Source organism: Homo sapiens, chromosome X, assembly GCF_000001405.40.
Source record: "Homo sapiens chromosome X, GRCh38.p14 Primary Assembly".
In the NCBI taxonomy this organism is placed as follows: domain Eukaryota; kingdom Metazoa; phylum Chordata; class Mammalia; order Primates; family Hominidae; genus Homo; species Homo sapiens.
Window position 1 is genome coordinate 115,000,864 of NC_000023.11, and position 20,808 is coordinate 115,021,671.

Here is a 20,808-nt window from a genome sequence, read left to right on the forward strand (position 1 = left end):
TGCTGCTTTTTGTAGCCATGTACTGAACATATGAGCCAAAACACTATCTCCTGCAGGGCGTGGAGATAATGGTGTGGAGGTCTCAGGAAGCTTACCTTGTGCATTAGCACTATGCCCTCCTGGAAGCAGGTTATTTGGTGGTGCATTTCAGGCTTCATTCCAGTACGTGGCTCTTAAGAGTAAGAGCCAGCTTTTCCTCAGGTAGGCTAATTAATGGAAACACCTGCCCTGATGGGGGGTGGGGCAGGTGGTGGTGGTAGGGAGATTATGTCAGGGTGTGCTGAGGTCTCAGTTTTAGGGGCAGGAAGATGGGAGTGCACCAGCTCTTCATCCTGAGCAGGCAGGAAAGTGATCTTCCTATCATGCCACTGTTCCAGGGCTCATGATCTTCAGTTTGAATAGACTTTGTCTTTGGCTTCTGGCCTAAGGATATGAGGCACAGATAGACCCCTCTGGCAGCTACTGTTACCAGTGGTGAACCCATATGGGTCTGCAGCAACCTCAATTCTTGCCTCCTCAGAAGAAAGAATTTGACTGAAGGGCATAAGGCTGAAGAAGAGACTGAGGCAAGTTTTAGAGCAGGAATGAACATTTATTAAAAAGCTTTAGAGCAGGAATGAAAGGAAAGTAAAGCACACTTGGAAGAGGGCCAAGCAGCCAACTTGGAGGTCAAGTGCCCTGTTTGGCCTTGGACTTAGGATTTTCTGTGCTGGCTTACTTCTGGTGTCTTGCATCCTTTTCTGGTGGAATACCCCTGGACGTGATATACCAGTTAAATTCTGCCATTTTGCTTTTAATGTGCATGTGTAAGCCCACGCGCCCAACTCCTGAAGATCTTATCAAAAGGGGCTGATCACCAGCTTCATGTGTTTCCTATCTATAGCGAGACTGCCTTTCCCCGGTGCTGGCTATGACCAATTATTATTTTAGAGGGACAGTTAACAACTGCCTGACCATCAGCTGATGGTCACCTGACTTTTCTGGCGGGGTGAAGAGGGAGCCCTCTCTTGCCTTCTCATGCCTGACTAGCTACCTACTGTAACACTATCACCAAAATGAGCTTGGGGCAGAGCTTCCTCCTCCAGTCTGACAACTCTTGTGGTTTGTTTGCCTTCCATTGCCAAGCCACTGCCATTCTGTGTAGGGAGGGTGAGTTGGGCCCCATCCTTCATGCAAGCCCAAGTTGTTTGGGCTCCTTTTCAGTGGGGATGGGGCTACCATGTGAATACAAAAAGCACTTTCTTCAAGTGCATATGCACTGGCGCCCAGTTCAGAGAACCTCTGTTGTGTCCAAAACAGTGGACTGGGGGAGTGAGAGTTGACCCCTCTCTCCAAATCCATTCCTGGCTGCTTTGTGCAGGGCCCAACTATATCCGGATTTGGTGCTACTTGATTCCATTTTGTTGGGGCAATTCTGATTGGGGCTTCTAGGTTTATGGTAGAGAGGCCAGAATTCCTTTAATTAGTAGGGCTTGTTGTGCATGCACTAAACAAGGGAATTGGAAGAGTAGGTTGCCAAGATGCATGCAGCCTCCCAGGATGAGGTTGCCTACCATATCTCTACCTCACCTTGACCTCTCCACATCACATTCCTCCGTCCTTCCCTACACCCTTCAACTCACTAAGAACAACTTTAGCAAGATCTAGTTTGACAGCAATTGCCAATCACATTGCATCTTAATTTACACTATCACAGGAGTTTTAATGTTTAACAAGGACAAGTCTACTTAGGGAAATGGCAGTACATCCTACCATTGATTACAAGTGATAGTAAAGGATGGTATTGTGGTTTACACTTCAGTTTTAGCTTTTTTCATCTTTTAGAGATGATCAGTGGCAATGATGAGCACAGCTGTGGCTACCCTTCCCAGGAGCTTACCTCCTCTGCATTATATTATTTTAGCATTTTTTATTCTAAAATACTGCTATAAATCAGTGTTTTTCAAATTGAAAGTGCAAATGAATCATCTGGGAATGTTCTTAAAATGCAAATTGCTAACTGAGTAGGTCGGGGTTGGAGCAGTTCTAATAAGCTCCCAGGTGATGGCCACTCTACTATGAATAGTATTGAATAGAAACTAGTCCAAACGGAAGCTTGGCTCTTGATTGTAATCTACAATCCTGATTGGAGTCCATTATTCCCTAAGTTTTAAAGGAATTATCGACACCTAGGTTGTGACATACCCTGAAGGTTGATTGTCCTTTTAGAAAGCTTCTTACTAATTTCAGATGTTTGTACCTTTTGGTCCGTGAACCAAAAACACACACCATCAGAAAGTATAGGGAAACTCTCAAGTTTTACTGTGTAGTTTGTGACTTCCAATTTTTTCAAATATGATTCCTAATCATCTTACTACTTTTAGCTTTTTAAGCACTGCATTCTTCACACATTTTTCTTCATGAAATGCAAAGAATATACTTAGGACTATGAATGTATTTAAAATTCTTGCTTCCTAATACTTTTCACAGGTTACTTTTAAAGCAAAACGATTTTTTTTTTTTTGAGACAGAGTTTCACTCTTGTTGCCTAAGCTGGAATGCAATGGCATGATCTCGGCTCATTGCAACCTCCGCCTCCCAGGTTCAAGCGATTCTCCTGCCTCAGCCTTCTGTGTAGCTGGGATTACAGGTACGCGCCACCATGCCTGGCTAATTTTTTGTATTTTTAGTAGAAATGGGGTTTCACCATGTTAGCCAGGCTGGTCTCGATCTCCTGACCTCAGGTGATCCACCTGCCTTGGCCTCCCAAAGTGCTGGGATTACAGGCATGAGCCACTGCGCCCAGCCTAAAGCCAAACAGTTTTATTCATACTGTATACTTTCATCCCAAGTGCAGTTTAAAACAAACAACAACAAAAACTAGAATCTCATTTTCCAAGATCTGACAATATCTCTGTGGCTTAGTGCAATCTGTGAAGTCACATTGTTTTATTAATACATCATAAATATAAAACCTGACTCATACCTTGATTGGAGAACTACGTGCAGCACTCTCACTATGAATTTATGAGAAAAGAAACTGTTAATAGAATCCAGAAAATGTACTACTAGCTGAGGCTTTGAGTACTCAAAAGCCTATTTAAATACAACAATATTTAAAAATAAGACGTATTCAACATTCGCAAGAAAAATTCAGTTTATTGAGACTCATATTGAACATTTGGCCATGACTGGAAACTGTTGAGTCAATACCATGTCTCTTGATATGGAAAGTCTTCATGTATCACAGAAAAATTCTGGAATCTAGAAAGAACTCTGTTATTAACAAGTCATCTCTAATAACACAAACTATTTCACTGAAGATTAACAACTCAGAGAATAAGCACAAGAGCATTCAGCAAACAAAGTGAAGCATTCTATACACATTCACTTTTCTCTCTATCTTGAAAAGATATGGCATTGAGATATCTTTTCTCAGCTGGGCACAGTTGCTGGCACCTGTAATCCCAGCACTTTGGGAGGCCAAAGTGGGAGGAATTGCTTGAGCCCAGGAGTTTGAGACCAGCCTGGGCAACATAGCGGGACTCCATCTCTATAAAAAATCTAAACATTAGCCATTGTGTCTGGCTAATGTTTAAATTTTTTATAGAGATGGAGTCCCGCTATGTTGGTGCCTGCCTGTAGTCCCAGCTACCCAGGAGGCTGAGGCAGGAGGATTGCTTGAGCCCTAGATACCAAGGCTGCAGTGAACCATGATTGCACCACTCCTCTCCAGCCTGAGTGACAGAATGAGACCCTGTCCCAAAAAGATATTTTTCTCCAGGTTACAACTCCTCCTTAAAGCCCCCCAACCCAGAGTGGTCCTATTGTTTTCTGAAATTCTATAGCATTATCTGCACGACTCAAATGGCAATCATCTAAAATCATCTCAAAGGTTATATTTTTTTGTATGGATCCTGTCTCCCTTAACTTGAGTGTGTGCTCCAAAGGCAGGCACCATGCTTTATCATTTGCATGTGTTCTTGTGCCTGTGGCACACTGGTAATATGTGTTTCAGTCTATGATCATTTTAATTCACTCTTCTATTTCTCCCAATCCTGCTTTTCTCTTGTAACTCTTTCCGTATACCATTCTCTAATCTAGGGCCAAATAGTATTTCATGTTTAAAGTTTGATTTCGACAAAAGTAAATCCACCTCAAAATGAAGTCTTGTAAGCTTAATTTTTAAAAATTGCTGTATTTTCTGAAGATAACATCATAATCCATACGGAATCAATTGTACACCCACAGCGAACAAGCAAAATTATAAAATGTATCTCCATCAGTTCTAAGTGCAGAACATTTTAAAAATCTCCTATTCTCAGGCTAAACATCATAATGTTACACATCTTACCATTTTTGGGTAGGTGTTTGGCTTACGCAAAAGCAGACCGGTTACAAATATAACTAATATTAAGATGAAACCAAATGGTAGCCAGAAACGTAGCAAAGTTTTCTTCGATAGGTCTTCACCTAGGATTAAAAATCACACGGAAAGGGGAAGTGTTAGACATTTGCCACTATTTTTGAAACTGAATTATTTTATAAATACTTCAGAACTGAGTTGAGCTTGGAAACCCCTGTCATATTTGCCAGTGCATAAATACCACAATTGTGTTTGAGTATAGCGTTCCTTTCATTTGTGCAATTTTTATATAGAAAAGTACTTTACTGAACTGTGACATGTCTTATTTTCACTTAGAAAAATAACTTCCCCAAACACAATTCTTATTTCCTGATATGAGTTTGTTTATATTTGACCTTGTGAATTCTCCATTTAAAAATGACAAAATATTAGCCAAGTGATTAAACAAACATGTCCTGTGTGTCTGTCTCTTAACTCTCAGTAAGTCAAACGTGTACTTAGATCATAGGATACTGTACCAAGCAAGAGGTATCCTTCAATAAAAATTCCTGTGTGAGTAATGGAAATCATCTTTTAAGGTTACCTTTTTAAAGTTGTCTCATATTTTAAAGACCAAAGGGAGGGATAAGGTTTTTCTTTTCTTTTTGATTTTGCTTTGTTAGTTTAGGGATGGAGTTTTAATGGTTCTTCTGCATAGCAAGAAATGAGCAATCACTAGGCAAACTTAAAAAGCAGACGAAGTTTGGTCTCCCTAAACTAGTACCTCTCACTTGTTTTGGAGTAATATAAAAGATCTTGAATCTTAGCCACGCATCTACAAAGCTCTCTTGATCCCACCTTTTTCTTTGTCCTATTTCCTCACGATCTTGTTTTCTATTAGAAAATTATCAGTCAAATTCACGTGTTCAGAGAAGATTTACAAGAATATAATCCAGAGAAATTACTGATGTAAGTTATCTGTCATGCAAAATTAACAGTGGGAAGGCAGGAAGCTCCTTTGCTGAAGTTCTACTGGCTTTCCCCATACAGAGTCAATCCTGAAGAGGACATACTTTTATTTCCAAAAATATTATTGTCCTATTTTTCTATAACTTGAAACATCCAATAAGAAATGTCCTAAAGAACTGAGACCACATGCAACTCAAGAAATTCCTTGTTTCTAATTTCAAAGTCATTAAGATTCTATGAAGAGGGCTGGGCACAGTGGCTCATGCCTGTAATCTCAACACTTTGTGAGACCGAGGTGGACGGATCACTTGAGGCCAGGAGTTCAAGACCAGCCTAGCCGACACGGTGAAACTCTGTCTCTACTAAAAATACAGAAATTAGCCAGGCGTGGTGGTGCATGCCCGTAATCCCAGCTACTCAGGAGGCTGAGGCACGAGAATCGCTTGAACCCAAGAGGCAGAGGTGACAGAGAGCCAACATCATGCCACTGCACTCCAGCCTGGGTGATAGAGCAAGACTCTGTACCAAAAAAAGGAAAAGATTTCCCTCAAAGCAAGAGAAATCTTAGGCATCACTATCATTGATAAGATTGCATGTAAAATACAGAAAAGAATATATTTTTTGAGGATATGGCTAAAAACTCACCATAACCACTTTATACAATGCATTGACTAATGACGAGATATAGTTCAGGACATAACTTTAGAGTTTCCTGATTTTTTAAAACAGTAACAAAAATGAAAAACATAAAACTAGTAAGTCTTCTTTCTGATTCCATATAGCTCTTGGTTGAGTTTTCCACTGTCTTGCTATTTTTTCTCCATAATCCTTAGTGATTATATAATCTATTAGGCTTCTCGTTTATTGCCTATCTCTACCCAATTGGAAATAAAATGTAAGTTCACTGAGGGTAGAGATTTCTTTACTGCCATATCTGTAATGCTTGAAAAGAGTCTGATACATAGTAGGTGCTTAATAAATATTTGATGAATGAAAGGGATCAATGATACCACTGTATTCGTAGGGAGATAATAGAGATTCCACTATAGTAGAACAACATGAAAGGAGATGAATGATTGATAGATATGGCAGTATCTGTCTGTATCAGCATCAGTATATTTATTTAGAGCTGCATCTATATCTATGTACCTGAAAGAGCAATGCTGAGTTGATTTCCTTCAATTTTGAACATTTATTAGTAATTTCTACTCTTAAAGCTAATACATTGTGAAGCACAATCACATTTTACCTCATTCTTTAGGCTTTTTAGTTTATATTGCTATGTAATTTAAATGACTTTATCACAAATCACTTTAAATCAGTGTTAGAAGTGAATGGAATGAATATGTATTTTACTATTCATGACCTTTTAATTAGAAAAATATTCCTTTTGAATAGTATTAGACACCCAGAAACAAATGTATGCTGATCTATACTTGCTTTAAGATTTCTGTTCTCTTGAATACTGAAAGCATATGAAAATATTGATTAAAATAAGTTCCTGCCAATCTCTCAAAAGAATGAGCATATTATCTATATTGACAGAAAAACAAGAATTTTGATAATAGAAGTATAACAATATTCCTAGTCCTAACTGAATGAATATTAGACTTTTAATAAATCTTTATTCAATTGAAGTGCTCCCTAACTTATTCTCTCTGTTCATAGACTATATGGGAAAGTCCTTCACTTCTGTAATTACAAAATACACCAAAAGAAAATTAATTTTGCTAGCAAAGAGCTCATTATTTAGTTACTGTCCTTTTAGCTCATACCTTCCCAGCATTGTTTATCACTCCACTCACTCCAAATTCCGTCATCTGAGCAATAAATATTCACTTTGCTTCTTACTACAAAGCATAATTGTCGGGTTTCATTTGTTGTTTTCAAGGTGTATGTTTCATTTTCAACTGTAGCAGTCTGAAAGCCAAGGACAAAATCAGATGCCATTATTTGATCTAGTTGCAACTAGACAGATTCCATATCTGTCCCTTTCAAAGTGGGTTTTATTACATAAAATCTATGCAATCTATGCATCAAAAGACTGGATGCATAATCCCAGCAGTAATTAGCTCTCTGTATAGTGGGGGTTTTAAAATCATTGTTTCTTCCCTTCTTTATCTATATTTTATTTCTACAGTGATAATGGATCACTTACAGTGAAGGACAGCATGTGTGAGACAGCAAAATTCCTAGGTAGCCTTGGTGTTTATAACACCCAGTATGTGGACTAGTGTCAAATTTCCCAGATTCTATGAACTGGAAGATGCTACATACACTCAGTTACCAAAAGACAGAGCCAGCATGTGAATGTTATTACTATGGAAACTATAGAGTTCACATATTAATATATAGCTTTTTCTTTTTTCCTTATGCTTATTTCCTTATTCTGATTGTTAATAAGAATAAGGAAAACCTACATAACAATGCTCAGGGCTTGGAATAAGAATAAGGAAACAAAACCTGTATAACAGTGCTCATGGCTTGGTATGAAACTATTGCTACAGTTATGAGACTATCTCAAGGCTGGGTGATCTCAGAGTAAAAAAATCACTGAAGCAATTATTTCAATTTTGCATTTCAAAGAGCTGAAGAATTTTTCTCATTCAATATAATAGCTTTTCCTTTGGCATAACTTATCTTAGGAATCAACATAATGTAGTGTAGACTTAAGTGGACTGGGAACCAGATCTGATATCTAGTTCTAGCTGCATAATTTGATTGTAAGTGAATTTACATACCTGGGATCTATACATCAATTCAACAACCAGTTTTCTTATCTGTATATGAAAGGAATGAATTAGAACTACTGACTCACTAACTTCTCTCTACCACTCTCTAAACTGGAAACTAATAAGGAAAAATAATATATAACAATGTGTGATTAAAGGCATCACCACATTGTTGGTGCTGGTGGCAGTAATTAGTCTTGCAACCATTGCCTAATTCCCCAGGCAGCCCTTCTTGCCTGGTACAAGCAATTCTCTTGTAAGCCTGCCATACTGTAATTTTGACCTGATGGTTGTTCCTCAATAAGTGGTCTTTGTGGGTTTTTTTTTTTAATTTTGTTTTGCTTTTACTTGAGGCCTCTCCACAATCCATCTTAAGCCTTCACCAACTTTAATTTATTGACACAAAATTGAAAACAAGTGACTAGATAATCTCTAAGGTCCTATGTAACTTTAAAATTGGTATCATTCATTATACTTTTGTCCATTAGCTTATTTGGCTTTCTGGAAATTGAACTAAGATATATGTCATGTTCTGTCCCTCACGTGGATGCAACTGATTTTGGTTCTCACATTTGCTATTTTATTTAAAAGGCTGTAGTTATGATTTTCCCAAATAAATGCAATATTCATACCACCAAGGTAGTATCATCTTCTCTGATCTCAATTTCATAATCAAAACACCTTGCTGGAATAGGTCCCAAAGGTATGCTCCATTTCAGCTTAATTTCACATGAACTCTCCCGAGTAAAAGTAAGATAGACTGGCGGCAAAGGTTTAACTGAAAAGCAAAAGAGAACCATTTCAACACGGAGATTGTTGAAGTTTAGCAGTAGCCTTTATCCAAAGCTAGGGACATCTGGTAACAGAAACCTCCAGGGATAAACCAAGTGGCTCAGTAATATTCCCTATGATACGTATTAAAATCAAAGTTGCTTGCCAACCAAGATGAGTTTATTAACAAACTTGGTTATTTTGGAAACTCATTTTTGACAAGTCACCCACTGACAAATATATAAATCCAAGAGAAAAGTTCGAAGACCCAAATCATTACAACAATTTTCCATTTTGTAGCATTAGAAATAACAACCACAATCAACAATACTACTACTTTTACAAATAGATAACCCTATTTAGTGCTTATGCTATTTCAGACACTGTAAGTACCAAGGATGTTACATAATAATCTCATTCACGCCTCACAATAAACCTATCAGGTGGTCCTCTGTTATCCTCATGTTACTACTAAGGAAATTGAAACAGAGTAACTTGCCCAAAGTCACACGACTAGAAAAATGGTAGATCTAAGATTTAAACCCAGGTCTGGCAGACTCTAGAACCCATCACTCTCATAACCATTAGAACTGAAAATATAGACTCAATAAATATCCAGCCATTTGTCTATTGAGGCCTGGGAAGAAGTATCTTCATAATTAATCCATCACTAACACTAGACAAAAGTACTGTATAGCAGACAAACTGAAGATGGAAAATAAAATTGTGAGTTCTAAATGAAAATGATACTTTAACCTTTATTAAATTTCTTATCTTTCATCCTTAAATATTTAATAAGCGCCACCTCATACACTCTGCTGACTCTCATTTTTCTGTCTTTGCATTTCCATAGGTCTCTGTCTCTCTCTCTGTCTATGTCTCTCTCTCCTTCCTCCCCTTTTTCTCTCTCTCACCCTCTCAAGTGGTTGTAAATGGCCTAAACTAGAAACAATGAATTTGAAGTTGTTTGTTGGTTTACATCACCTATATTTTGAAGCTGAAAAGTGAAATAACTGGATCTGATAGGCTTGTTCTCTGATGATCCATTAACACAAATATAGAAATCTTTATAGTCTGATGCCTCCAAATAGGGAAATCTGCATCCTATATTTTGTCCATCAGCCTTGATGTAATCAACACACTGTAATGCATGATCCAAGCCCTCATACCTGTAAAATGAGTGTTGTGAGAATTGTGTTTAAATAACAATCTTTTCCAGTATCAAGGCACTTCATTTTCAATTATATTAGGATACCATGTCAGTTTAAAAATCATTTAATAATGTACAATATTTATTAAGCACCTACTATATGTCAGGCACTATGATAAGCAATAGGGAAAAAACAGTAGGGAAAGCAGACATAGTCCCCGATTTCATGGAGCTTACAATTTGTTGGGAGTCCTCGCAAAATCTCAAAGACAAGGATTCTTACTTGTGTACTTAGGTTATATTGATTCATCAACAAGGTTTGTGAATCAAAGAATAAGATTCCTAGTAAGAAAACCTGTGATTTGTACAAATAATCCTGCATGATATTGCCTTTTAAGTTATTTTACTGGGGAAGTTATTTTAAAAGAAAGCAAATTTTAAAGCAGACTTAGAAAATATTATGTTTAATAAAATGAATGAAAATCTGGAGTATACAATACACATCAAGAGATAAACCTCAGAAAAGCCAACTGTAGGAGGGCAAAAGGAAAAAGAAGGAGTTGTTTGGCAAGTAAATATTTAATTTTCTCATCTATTAAATGAGAAATGTTACCATATCATTTTAAGTTAACCTTATTCCAGTAATAAAGCTAAAAGGAACTAGGAGTGATTCCCTACTAAATTCGAAAGCAACAAATGCTTGCTATTTTCCTAAAGAATAGCTTGCAATGCAAACCATGACATTATCTGTAAAAGCAGTCAAATCCCTGTTGAAAAGAGGCCAATGTAGCAGCTGATAAGGTGCCTGTACACATATCTGGACTCTACTAAATTAACCTTATGCCAACTATTTACTTTAGGGAGAGTTTGCAAAATTGTTGTCTCTTGGTTAGTTCACTTGATTAGAGTTTGGGAGACTTCAGTTCCAGGCTTAACTCCATACAGACTTACTTGATGTCAGCAGGGAAGGCTTTATTTTCCAATCTCTAAAATGTTAATGTTTATTCCTCCCTATTTCACCAAGATGAGGATCAAATTATATCAAATATGAACCACAATGTACAGGAGGGCAGAGACTTTCTCTTATTCATGCTTTTGTCCTTTTTATCTAGAACACTGCCTGGCATTTAAAAGATGCTTAATATTTGTTGAATTAATGAACAAATAATTTAGATCTTTGAAATTTACCTATCCAATTCCAGATGAGGAAACAAAAATTCTAAAAGAAAAAATTACTTGCCCAAGGCCGCCAAGTTAAATGATGCTAGAGCAGGGATTAGAACCCAGATCTCAGGATTGTTAATAGTTTATAGCTTATGATTTATCTATTATTATTTTCTAAAGAAAGATGCCATGATAATTTGGAACTAGAACTCACCAATAGTAATGCTTAGTCCTCTCTTGATTTTTCCATTATTTAGTAAATGCATATGTTTGGATAATTACCTATCAGTTTATCAGTGCTATCACTTGTTTCAGCTATGTAATAAATATTTAGTGCTAATCTACTACGGGTATAGTACTTTGGAGGTAGGCAAGAGAAATATAATAAACAATTCATGCCCACCAATCCCTTAAAAATTTAACAGGAGACAAAGCACACATATATGAGAAAAAATTTAAATGCCATCTGGACAATAAACAATTACAGGCTATAAAAAAAAATAGTTCAAGGCCAGGCGCAGTGGCTCACGCCTGTAATCTCAGCGCTTTCGGAGGCTGAGGTGGGCAGATCACTTGAGGTAAGGAGCTTGAGACCAGCATGGGCAACATTGTGAAACCCCATCTCTACTAAAAATGCAAAAGTTAGCCAGGTGTGGTGGCACACGCCCATAATCCCAGCTGCTCGGGAGGCTGAGGCATGAGAATCGCTTGAACCCAGGAGGTGGAGGCTGCAGTGAGCCGAGATGGCACCACTGCACTCCAGCCTGTGTGACAGAGGGAGACTCTTGTCTCAAACAAACAAACAAAAAAAAAAACAAAGTAATAGCTCAAGAAAAACAAAACAGAAGCTGACATGATCAGTTAAAGGTTAATGAAACTGGGGAGCAGATGAGCCTTGAAAAAGATGGATAAAAATTGGTGAAAGAAAGATAGAGCCAGAGGGCATTCCAGAAGGTAATGCAAACAAAGGTATAAAAGGCAATAACACGGGTGAGAAAAAAATGTAGAGATGGATCTAAATTGAGTGGAGCATTCACATTGGTAATAGTAGACAGTATGGCAGCCTAGATTTTATCCTGGGGCAATGAGTAGACACAGGAGGTTTTTGAACAAGAGAGTGGTATATGAAAATGGCAATATAGGAAGATAAAGCTGGCTACAGTGTGCAGAATGAATAAAAAGGGGAGAGATTGGAAGGGGAGAGATTGGGAGCAGAGCGACCGTCATTTTGGAAGCAATGGCAATCATCCAGGTGTGGAATGAGGGAAGCCTAAAGTAGAGCTCTTACAGTAGAGATGGTAGGTACTTAACAGATGTGCAACCTTGCAAAGGAGCATCAGAACATGGTGATCATGTTACCCTAAAACAATTAAGAAATTAAGAAGATACACGAGTCACAATGTCCAAGTTTAAAAGCTTCAGTGACAGTTAACAAAGGAGGGAGTCAGAAAAAAATTCAGTTTAATAGATAACTGATTTTTTAAAAAAACAAGAATATAAAATATGTCAAAATTGTTTAAGTTCTAAATTCATCTATCTAAAGGATACAAAATTAACCCAGTACAGAAACAATTATTGCATTCCTTATATCACCCATAGAATACCTTCCAGTATCTACATCCTAAAACCACTTACACCCATTGAAAACCTCAAATAATTGTAAACAATTATCATCATAAATACAACTCTGACAAGTATAATGAATTTAACTTAGTGAAAATATAGTTTACTCATACTATCGACTAACTTGAGTAGACATTTTTTAATATGGAATTCTAATTATAAAAATACTTACCAGTAAAACAAGTTGTAATTGGTATCAAGAAGTACACCTATGCCAGGTTTCCAAGAACAGAGTAAATATTGCCAATTGTAATATACGCAATCCATATCCTGAACTTTAGTTTCTGGAATTCCTAAGGAACAAATCAACTGTGAATGTTTGAAAGGCTTGGTGATGAATCATTTGTGAAATCATTTCTCAATTTTACTTCATTTCCTATGACCTCTCCATTTTATTTTGCAATCAACATAACAGGATTATTTCAAAAGGAAGTTACTGGGAATCACTTCACGATAAGAGGGACATGCAAAACCAAAAAACATTTGAGGGCTCATTTACTCATATTAGTATAAGCATATGCAAAAGTAGTAAATTGATTATTCTAGGATGCTCTGAGCAGATGAGCAAATACTCATGAATGTTTACTAATATGACCCCAAAACTGGGAACTAAATCAATAAAATAATATACAGGTTTTGCCAAAGGTATTTGCTGATTTAAAGAATTTTAAAAGGCTAATCACCAACTACAAGAAAGATTCTATTTTGTGCCACACTGTCACAGGATCTATTGTGCCTACAGCCTGGTACATAAGATTAAGGGACTTATTCCCAAATGAATTGTTCTGATAGTATTAAATATGAAAAGAGAGCTTTGTTTTAACCTTGTGGTGATATCCAATAAGTAGTTTCTGCCCAGGAACTTTGAACTTCTGATCCATTTGTGCATTGCCATGGTAAAAGCGTGTGTATCTTCGCTTCAATGCCCTTGTTAAGATCAAACCCATCTTTGTAATGTAGATTCTTAGTAATGATGGTCTGTTTGACAAAAAGATGAGACAAAGTCAAGCTTAGAAACCTCCATGGTATAGTGAGCTATATTAATAAGACTAATAAATCATTAATACCCTGGAGAGTTCCCAATATCTAAGACAATCCTAGAGACTATTTGATACAATGCCACAGATACATTTCCAGCAGAGCTCACCTCTGTATGTCATATCATTTTATGAGATCATTTGAATCTTAACATCTAATTCCAAATAAAAACAAAAACTTTTGGAAGGGAAAAAAAACTTTATGGCAGAAACTTGAGCTATATCTGCTTGGAATCAAATAGATAATTTTCATATACCATAGGCACATTACTTGGCAAATCATGCCACATTTCAAAATATAATATGAAACCTTCAAGAAATACATAAACTAAAACCCTGGAAGTAACCAGAAAAATACAGACAAATCATGAGCTTCTGGAGGACAAAAATCATTTATTATTTATTCATATATTCCTGATACCTAGTAGAGTGCCCAGCACAAAGTTGATCAATAAATGCTCAATTTGAATTGTCTCTTGAAACTACCTAGCTGAATTAGAGAGGTAACAGAATGTCATCTACAACAGAAATCTTTGAATATACATGCTTGTTGAGTATATAAGTAGTTAATAATTCAAAACATTTTCATTGAGCTCTTACTACAATATATACAACGAACCATAATCCTGCGACCCTCTGTGGGAAGGGTACAAAGATAAATAAGCCTTGTCTCCTACAGTAGAAAAGGTCACAGGTCAGTAGCATGTATAAGGCCCACATCCAAGAATATAAGCAATTGTAAAATACAGTGAAATGCTCTTCTAGTGAAGTGCTGCTCTTCAAGTTCATATTGCACGAGACCGAGTTTTTTGTTTTTGTTTTTGTTTTTTTTCTTGTTCTTCCAATGGCAATCTTAACACTGGATGGGGTGAAAACAGATATAGCAGGATGCATAGGAGACAGAAGCGGGTGTGGAAGCTTTTTATATCCTAATTAGAACTATTGAGATATGGGAATTGGAGCGGACACTAAAGTCAGGAATCACAAAGTAACACCTGATGATCACTCTGATACGGCAAATGCATGCTTTACTTACCTTCCATGTTTCACTACCAATGTTTCGGTATTTTAGTTCATATTCCACTGTGCATTCCTTAAAATGATCCAGAGACAGTGGGGGTTGCCATTGCAAATAGAGATAACCTAAGTATCCGGGATCCACTATCTCAAAATCCTGAGGAGGGTTAACTGAAATAAATCAATAAAACACTTTTATTTTTTCTGTATTTTATGACAAATATTGCTAAATCTAGATGGCTTCCAAATGTGCACCAATTGATTAACAGATAAACAAAATGTGCTACATGCATACAATCAAATATTATTCAGCCATAAAAAGACATGAAGTACTGATTCATGCTACAACATGGATGAACCTTGAGAACATTATACTAACTGAAAGAAGCCAGACACAAAAGACCACATATTGACATAGTTCCATTTCTATGAAATTTCAAAATAGACAAATTCATAGAGAGAGAAAGTAGATTCGTGGTTGGTAGGGGCTGGAGGGAGAAACAATGCAGGGTGACTGCTTAATGGGTTTAGGGGCTGTTTTACGGGTGATGCAACTATTCTGGACTTTGATAGTGGTGATTGTTGCACAACTTTGTGAATATACTAAAAACCAACGTATAGTAAAGAGTTTTACTATACATGTATAGTTTTAAAGAATATAGTTTTGTATAAAGAGTTAGTTTTGTGTAAATTATATCTCAGTAAGGCTGTTAAAAAAATCTAGATTACTGCTATATAGTTGTTCCTTCTTTGAGAAATCACATATGCAAAATGTGACTTTGCCTCACTAGGTATTAATTTTTAGAGAAGCAAAAAATTCAATGTGGCTTTATCTCTGTGCTCATGTACGCCAGAATTTGGTCTAAGATGGGAACATTTTATTACAAAAATCTGTCTAACAATAACAATAACAAATAAGAACAACAAATAATAACAAATAATAACTAACATATCACTATAATATAAATATATGTATTTAATTATATTAATTATAATATAATATATAATATAATAATATACTATAAATAATTTTAATTAATTAATAATAAAACATTAACATTATATTAAATAATATAATATAATTGAAAAATTAAATAATTCTAATTATTTTTAAATTTTACGTTAAATTTCTGTACCTTTTTAATGTATCTAATTGTCATAAAAGCTAAGGATAGTAGCTAAGGATAGTAATTAAGGAACTGTTCCAGTTAGTTTAGTACCAGGCAATGAGGTTTCAGATACTTAATCTGTTAAAAAAGACTATACAAAAAGGTATGGAGAGTGTTTTTAATTTGGCATTTATCGCACAAAATGTGTGTCAACATCAGTTACCTTATACAAGAAAGTGACTAGTAAGAACATAGCTTTTTTTCATGAACTTCCTGAAATAGTTTCAATAACAATTCATCTACTAGTTAGTTATGCACTTCCATAAGGCAGGTCAAAAAGACAGTTAATTTTCCATTAAAATCCATTTAATTTTACTTTTCCTAATTTAAAAACTATTCCATTAAAATCCATTTACCTTTTATCTCGGTGTCTGAAGATGAAGTACAGCCAAATGTTGTGCTTATCAGAAAGGTATATAAGCATCCGATAGCCAAGCAAACGAAAGCCATTTCTCCGAGATTTAAAACCTTGATATTGCCTCTCTATGAAGGAAAAATATAACATTTTAACTTTATCTTACATCAAATAATCAAACTAAACGTGATTAAAAATACTTTGGAAAGCTCTCTGTGTGCTTCTCTACCAAGAACTGGGAAAACTGTGTCCACCTCAGACCATGGAAACAGAAATAATCAAGTTAGGAACCAATATAATTGGAAAGAAAGGATTCTAGTCTCATCCTGCTTACAAGAATAAAAACAAAGCTAAGCAAAAACCCTTGTAGCTCCTCACCTCCCCGCCGACAGGCACACTTCTGACCAGGTTATGGCGACTTCAAATAGCCTTCATCCGGAAGACCGTTAGACTCACGAGAGTGTTCTTACTGGTTCACAATGGAGTTATGATATCATCCATCTCCATAGCAACCGTCTCCCCTAGCAACACATAAAACACAGTCAAATACTCTTTTCTGAGGGGAAAAAAAGAAAAAAGAAAAAGAAAAAAGTATTTGAAAGTTATTTCGGCCGGGCATGGTGGCTCATGCCTGTAATCCCAGCACTTTCGGAGGCTGAGGCGGGTGGATCACCTGAAGTCAGGAGTTTGAGACAGCCTGGCCAACATGGTGAAATCCTTTCTCTACTAAAAATGCACAATTAGCCAGGCATGGTGGCGGGCGCCTGTAATCCCAGCTATTCGGAAGGCCGAGGCAGGAGAATGGCTTGAACCCGGGAGGCGGAGATTGCAGTGAGCCAAGATCCCACCATTGCACTCCAGCCTGGGCAATAGAGCGAGACTGTCTCTAAATAAATAAATAAAATAAAATAAAATAAAATAGAAAGTTATTTGACCACTGAGAAAGCTCAGAACCTAAACCGAAGCCTCAGAGAGTTCAAAACTTTGCTCTGTTTCCTCATAAATATTTCTTTTTTTAGTTTAAAAAAAGTGTTTATTTAGCTCTTTCGCCCCCTGCTGGACGATTGACTTTCTTCTTTGCTCCTTTTTTCTTTTAATTACTTCTTTTAATTAAAATTTTTTATTTCCATCTACTCTCATTATTGTTCCACTTTTTCCTGTGTTTCCTTTATTAGTAAATGGCATCGCCATCCTTCCAGTTGCCCAAACCAGAAACCTGGGAGTCTTCCTCAACTCCTCTCCCATCTAATCTCTCCATTACCACTACCACTTCCTAAATGGAGGATCTTAGCAGGGATCTCCTTATTCAGTCTTTCCTGCCTCTGATCCATTTTCCACACCATATACAGCAAGAGTGACCTTTCTAAAGGGCAAATCTGAACTTTTCATCTCTTTCTTAAACTAAAACAGCATTTCATTGCCATAGAATACAATTTAGTCATCTTTCTGTTCTTGGATATTGGTTCTTGACGGATATGATCAAAATTTAAAGGATTCATGCCTTCAAATAGCTACTCAATTAAAAATACTTTGCTTTTCAGGAAAAACTACTACTCCCAATTCCATACACTTCTCTTCGAATCTATATTCTGGAACCAACAATTTCACATAAAGTAAAGGATTAAAAGTCACTCAAAAGAAAAGAAGGGACTGCCCTTCTTTTCTTGTGCATAGATTAATTCAATAGGACAGACCCTCTCTTCCACCCCACCCTCTTCCCCCTACCTGATCCATCTGTAATATTGTAACTTTGGTAAGCCTCAATGGCTACTTTATAGAATCTTAGGATCAAATTTTTAGAACCAGTATGTATATTACAGACAAGGCTAGTCAAATTCTCTTTTATAAATTGGGCAGTAAAACTCAGACTTGCCCCACCCAAGATTACACAGCAAATTAGTAACAAAGCTGGAAGTAGAACAGAGATCTCATGATGCCCAGTCCTGTGCACTTCCACCCCATTCTGCTGGGTCCCACAGGCATGACTCAGGATTATGAACGCTTTTCCTCTGGAACCCCAGTGTTTAAATCTTCCTTTAATTAGCAAACCAAGCTGAATCAACACCATGTTATTTTAAAAATTCTGCGCCTCATAAAATCAGGAGAGAATGTCATTTCTCTCACTGAGGCCCAACAAATCTCTCTTTCTCCCCAATTCCTCTCTCTTTACTTGCCAGCCAATGGCTGCCCACTAATGCATCTGTAAGTACTAGGTAGATTTGGCTAACAGAAGGTTATGGATCTTCCACAGAGCTACCCTCAGAGATTAAGATGAACACACTGGTTACTACTGGGATCAGGGCAATAGGTCTGACAAAGAGAAAACCTTCCATATTACCTTTAAGGACTAAGGGCAATCAGGCTGCCCTTACAATGCTCTCAGAGAGATTCTAACAAAATTCTCTCTCCCCTATCGATCTGTCCTTTAAGATTTCGTAGCATTATGTCATGTACAGCATAAATGCTAAGTAAAGAGTTTAAAATCATTTGCTTCTATTCCATTTATAGGCTATGAAATCTGACTCAGGCTATCAAATAGCATTTCATGGATCAGACTGATCAATATACCCAAGCAAAGGTGGAAAATGGGATAACTAGCTTCTAGCATCACTTATGGATAAACCCACAAAAGGAGTTGCTGAATTACACCTAGGGCCCAACCAAGACTTTCTTACCCAAATGAACACAAAGACAATTCTCTCCTTTGCTTCTGGGTTACAGGATTGTCACTAGTGCAATGAGGGGCTTTATACACTATGTGGTTACCAGGAACACCGGAGTTTTTCACAAGGACCAGGGGGACCTGAAGACAAAGGGAAGATTAGAAAAGCAAATGCAGACATATTAGATTTGAAAAAGTTGTTTTTCTATATTTCAGACCCCCAGACCACAGTTCATAACCACTCATCTGGTCTTAGCTCCTCATTTTTAAAAATAAGGAAATAACAGCCAGAGAGGAAGGTAAGTAAGCCAAGTGTACACAACTTATTGGTGGCAGAGCTGGGATTGAAAACCATATCTCCTGAACCCTTTCCACTAACTAGCAAATAAATGTTCTTATCATAATGAATCTATCCTGCACCTATTTTACTAGAAGCCTCTTCCTAACTCCCAACCTTCCTCTACCTACTGTCACCACCCAAACCATCCAGCCCACCACACAGTTTTATCATTATGACATTTCTGACAGAGTAATAATTCAATAAATATTTATTGAGCATCTTTGGAAGTTTTTTGCCAGATACTATCCCAGCTAAATCTTGCAGAAGACACAAAGTGAAAGTGGCAACAGTCATAGTATCTGTCATAGTAATAGTACCTTCTAGTATTTATTCAACATCTCAGGCACTGCCCTGTGCTATGCAATTTATATGCATTATCTCATATAATCCTCACAATCAGACTTGGACATATATACTATTTTTAGTTCTATGTTATTTGTTTAAATTTTCTTTTTAACTTTAATTTTTAATTGATACATAATGATTGTACATATTTGTGGGGTACAGTGTAATGTTTTGATACATGGATAACGTTGTGTAATGATCAAATCACGGTAATTAGCATATACATCACCTCAAACATTTATCAGTTCTTTGTGGTAAAAACATTCAAATTCCTTTCTTCTAGCTTTTGAAAAATACAATTCATTATTGTTAGCTATACTCACCTTACTGTGCAATAGAAATCAGAATGTATTCCTCTTATCTAACTGTAACATTGTACCCATTCACCAACCTTTCCCCATCCCGGCTCCCTTATTCCCTCCCCAGCCTCTGGTAACTTCTATTCTACTCTCTACTCTATGAGATTAACTTTTTAAAGACCAGAAACTATGACATACAGAAGTCAAATGGCTTCCCTCAAGTCACACACCATAAATGGTGAAACTTGGATTTAAATCTAGACAATCTAGTACCAGAGCCCTTGATGGTAATCACTACACTAGGTATTTTCCATGCCTAAGATCAATGTGGAGGGGAGCTTTCTATTTCTACCCACTCAGTTTTACACAACACTTTTGAGATAGTTTCTCACTGAGAATCTCCTTTGGAATGGCAAACCTAAAGTGATTGCCTCTTCTCGGCCTCGCTTCTCCACCGCTTCAAAGTCATGCAACATAATACTCTCACTTTAACAGCTGGCTGCAATCTTTGCATTATTGGAGAAATTCCAGGTACTTACCAATCATATGGTTTCTCAAGAAATAGATTAACGTAAGCAGTTATCACAGGTCCTCTTTTGTTCTCCTCTCTACTTTAGAGACATTAATTAGAATCTCTAATACTTTCCTGCCTAATAATCAAGCACGTAGAAAATATTAGTTAGGTATTCCTGAAACAGTCACAGGGCCAGGACACAGATTCTACAAGCCACAAGATGGGGAAGTTATGGGTGAGGCCAAAAGCCATCTAAAGCAAATTTGGAATTATACCAAGGTGCTGTAAAAGCTGGCAGGACCAACTATTCTTTGGATAAAGTAACAGATACATAGCC

The 20,808-nt window shown here is 36.8% G+C and overlaps 1 protein-coding gene across 1 annotated transcript; it reads right to left on the reverse strand.

The window, feature by feature from the left end:
* On the reverse strand, positions 3,119 to 16,753 carry IL13RA2 (interleukin 13 receptor subunit alpha 2). Its single transcript, NM_000640.3, has 10 exons — positions 16,690 to 16,753; positions 16,313 to 16,439; positions 14,807 to 14,958; positions 13,558 to 13,711; positions 12,906 to 13,026; positions 9,781 to 9,965; positions 8,658 to 8,803; positions 7,069 to 7,213; positions 4,334 to 4,452; positions 3,119 to 3,243 (listed from the first exon to the last, which is right to left on the reverse strand). The coding sequence occupies exons 2-10, from the start codon at positions 16,404 to 16,406 to the stop codon at positions 3,217 to 3,219; spliced, it is 1,143 nt and encodes a 380-aa protein (NP_000631.1). The 5' UTR covers positions 16,407 to 16,439; positions 16,690 to 16,753; the 3' UTR covers positions 3,119 to 3,216.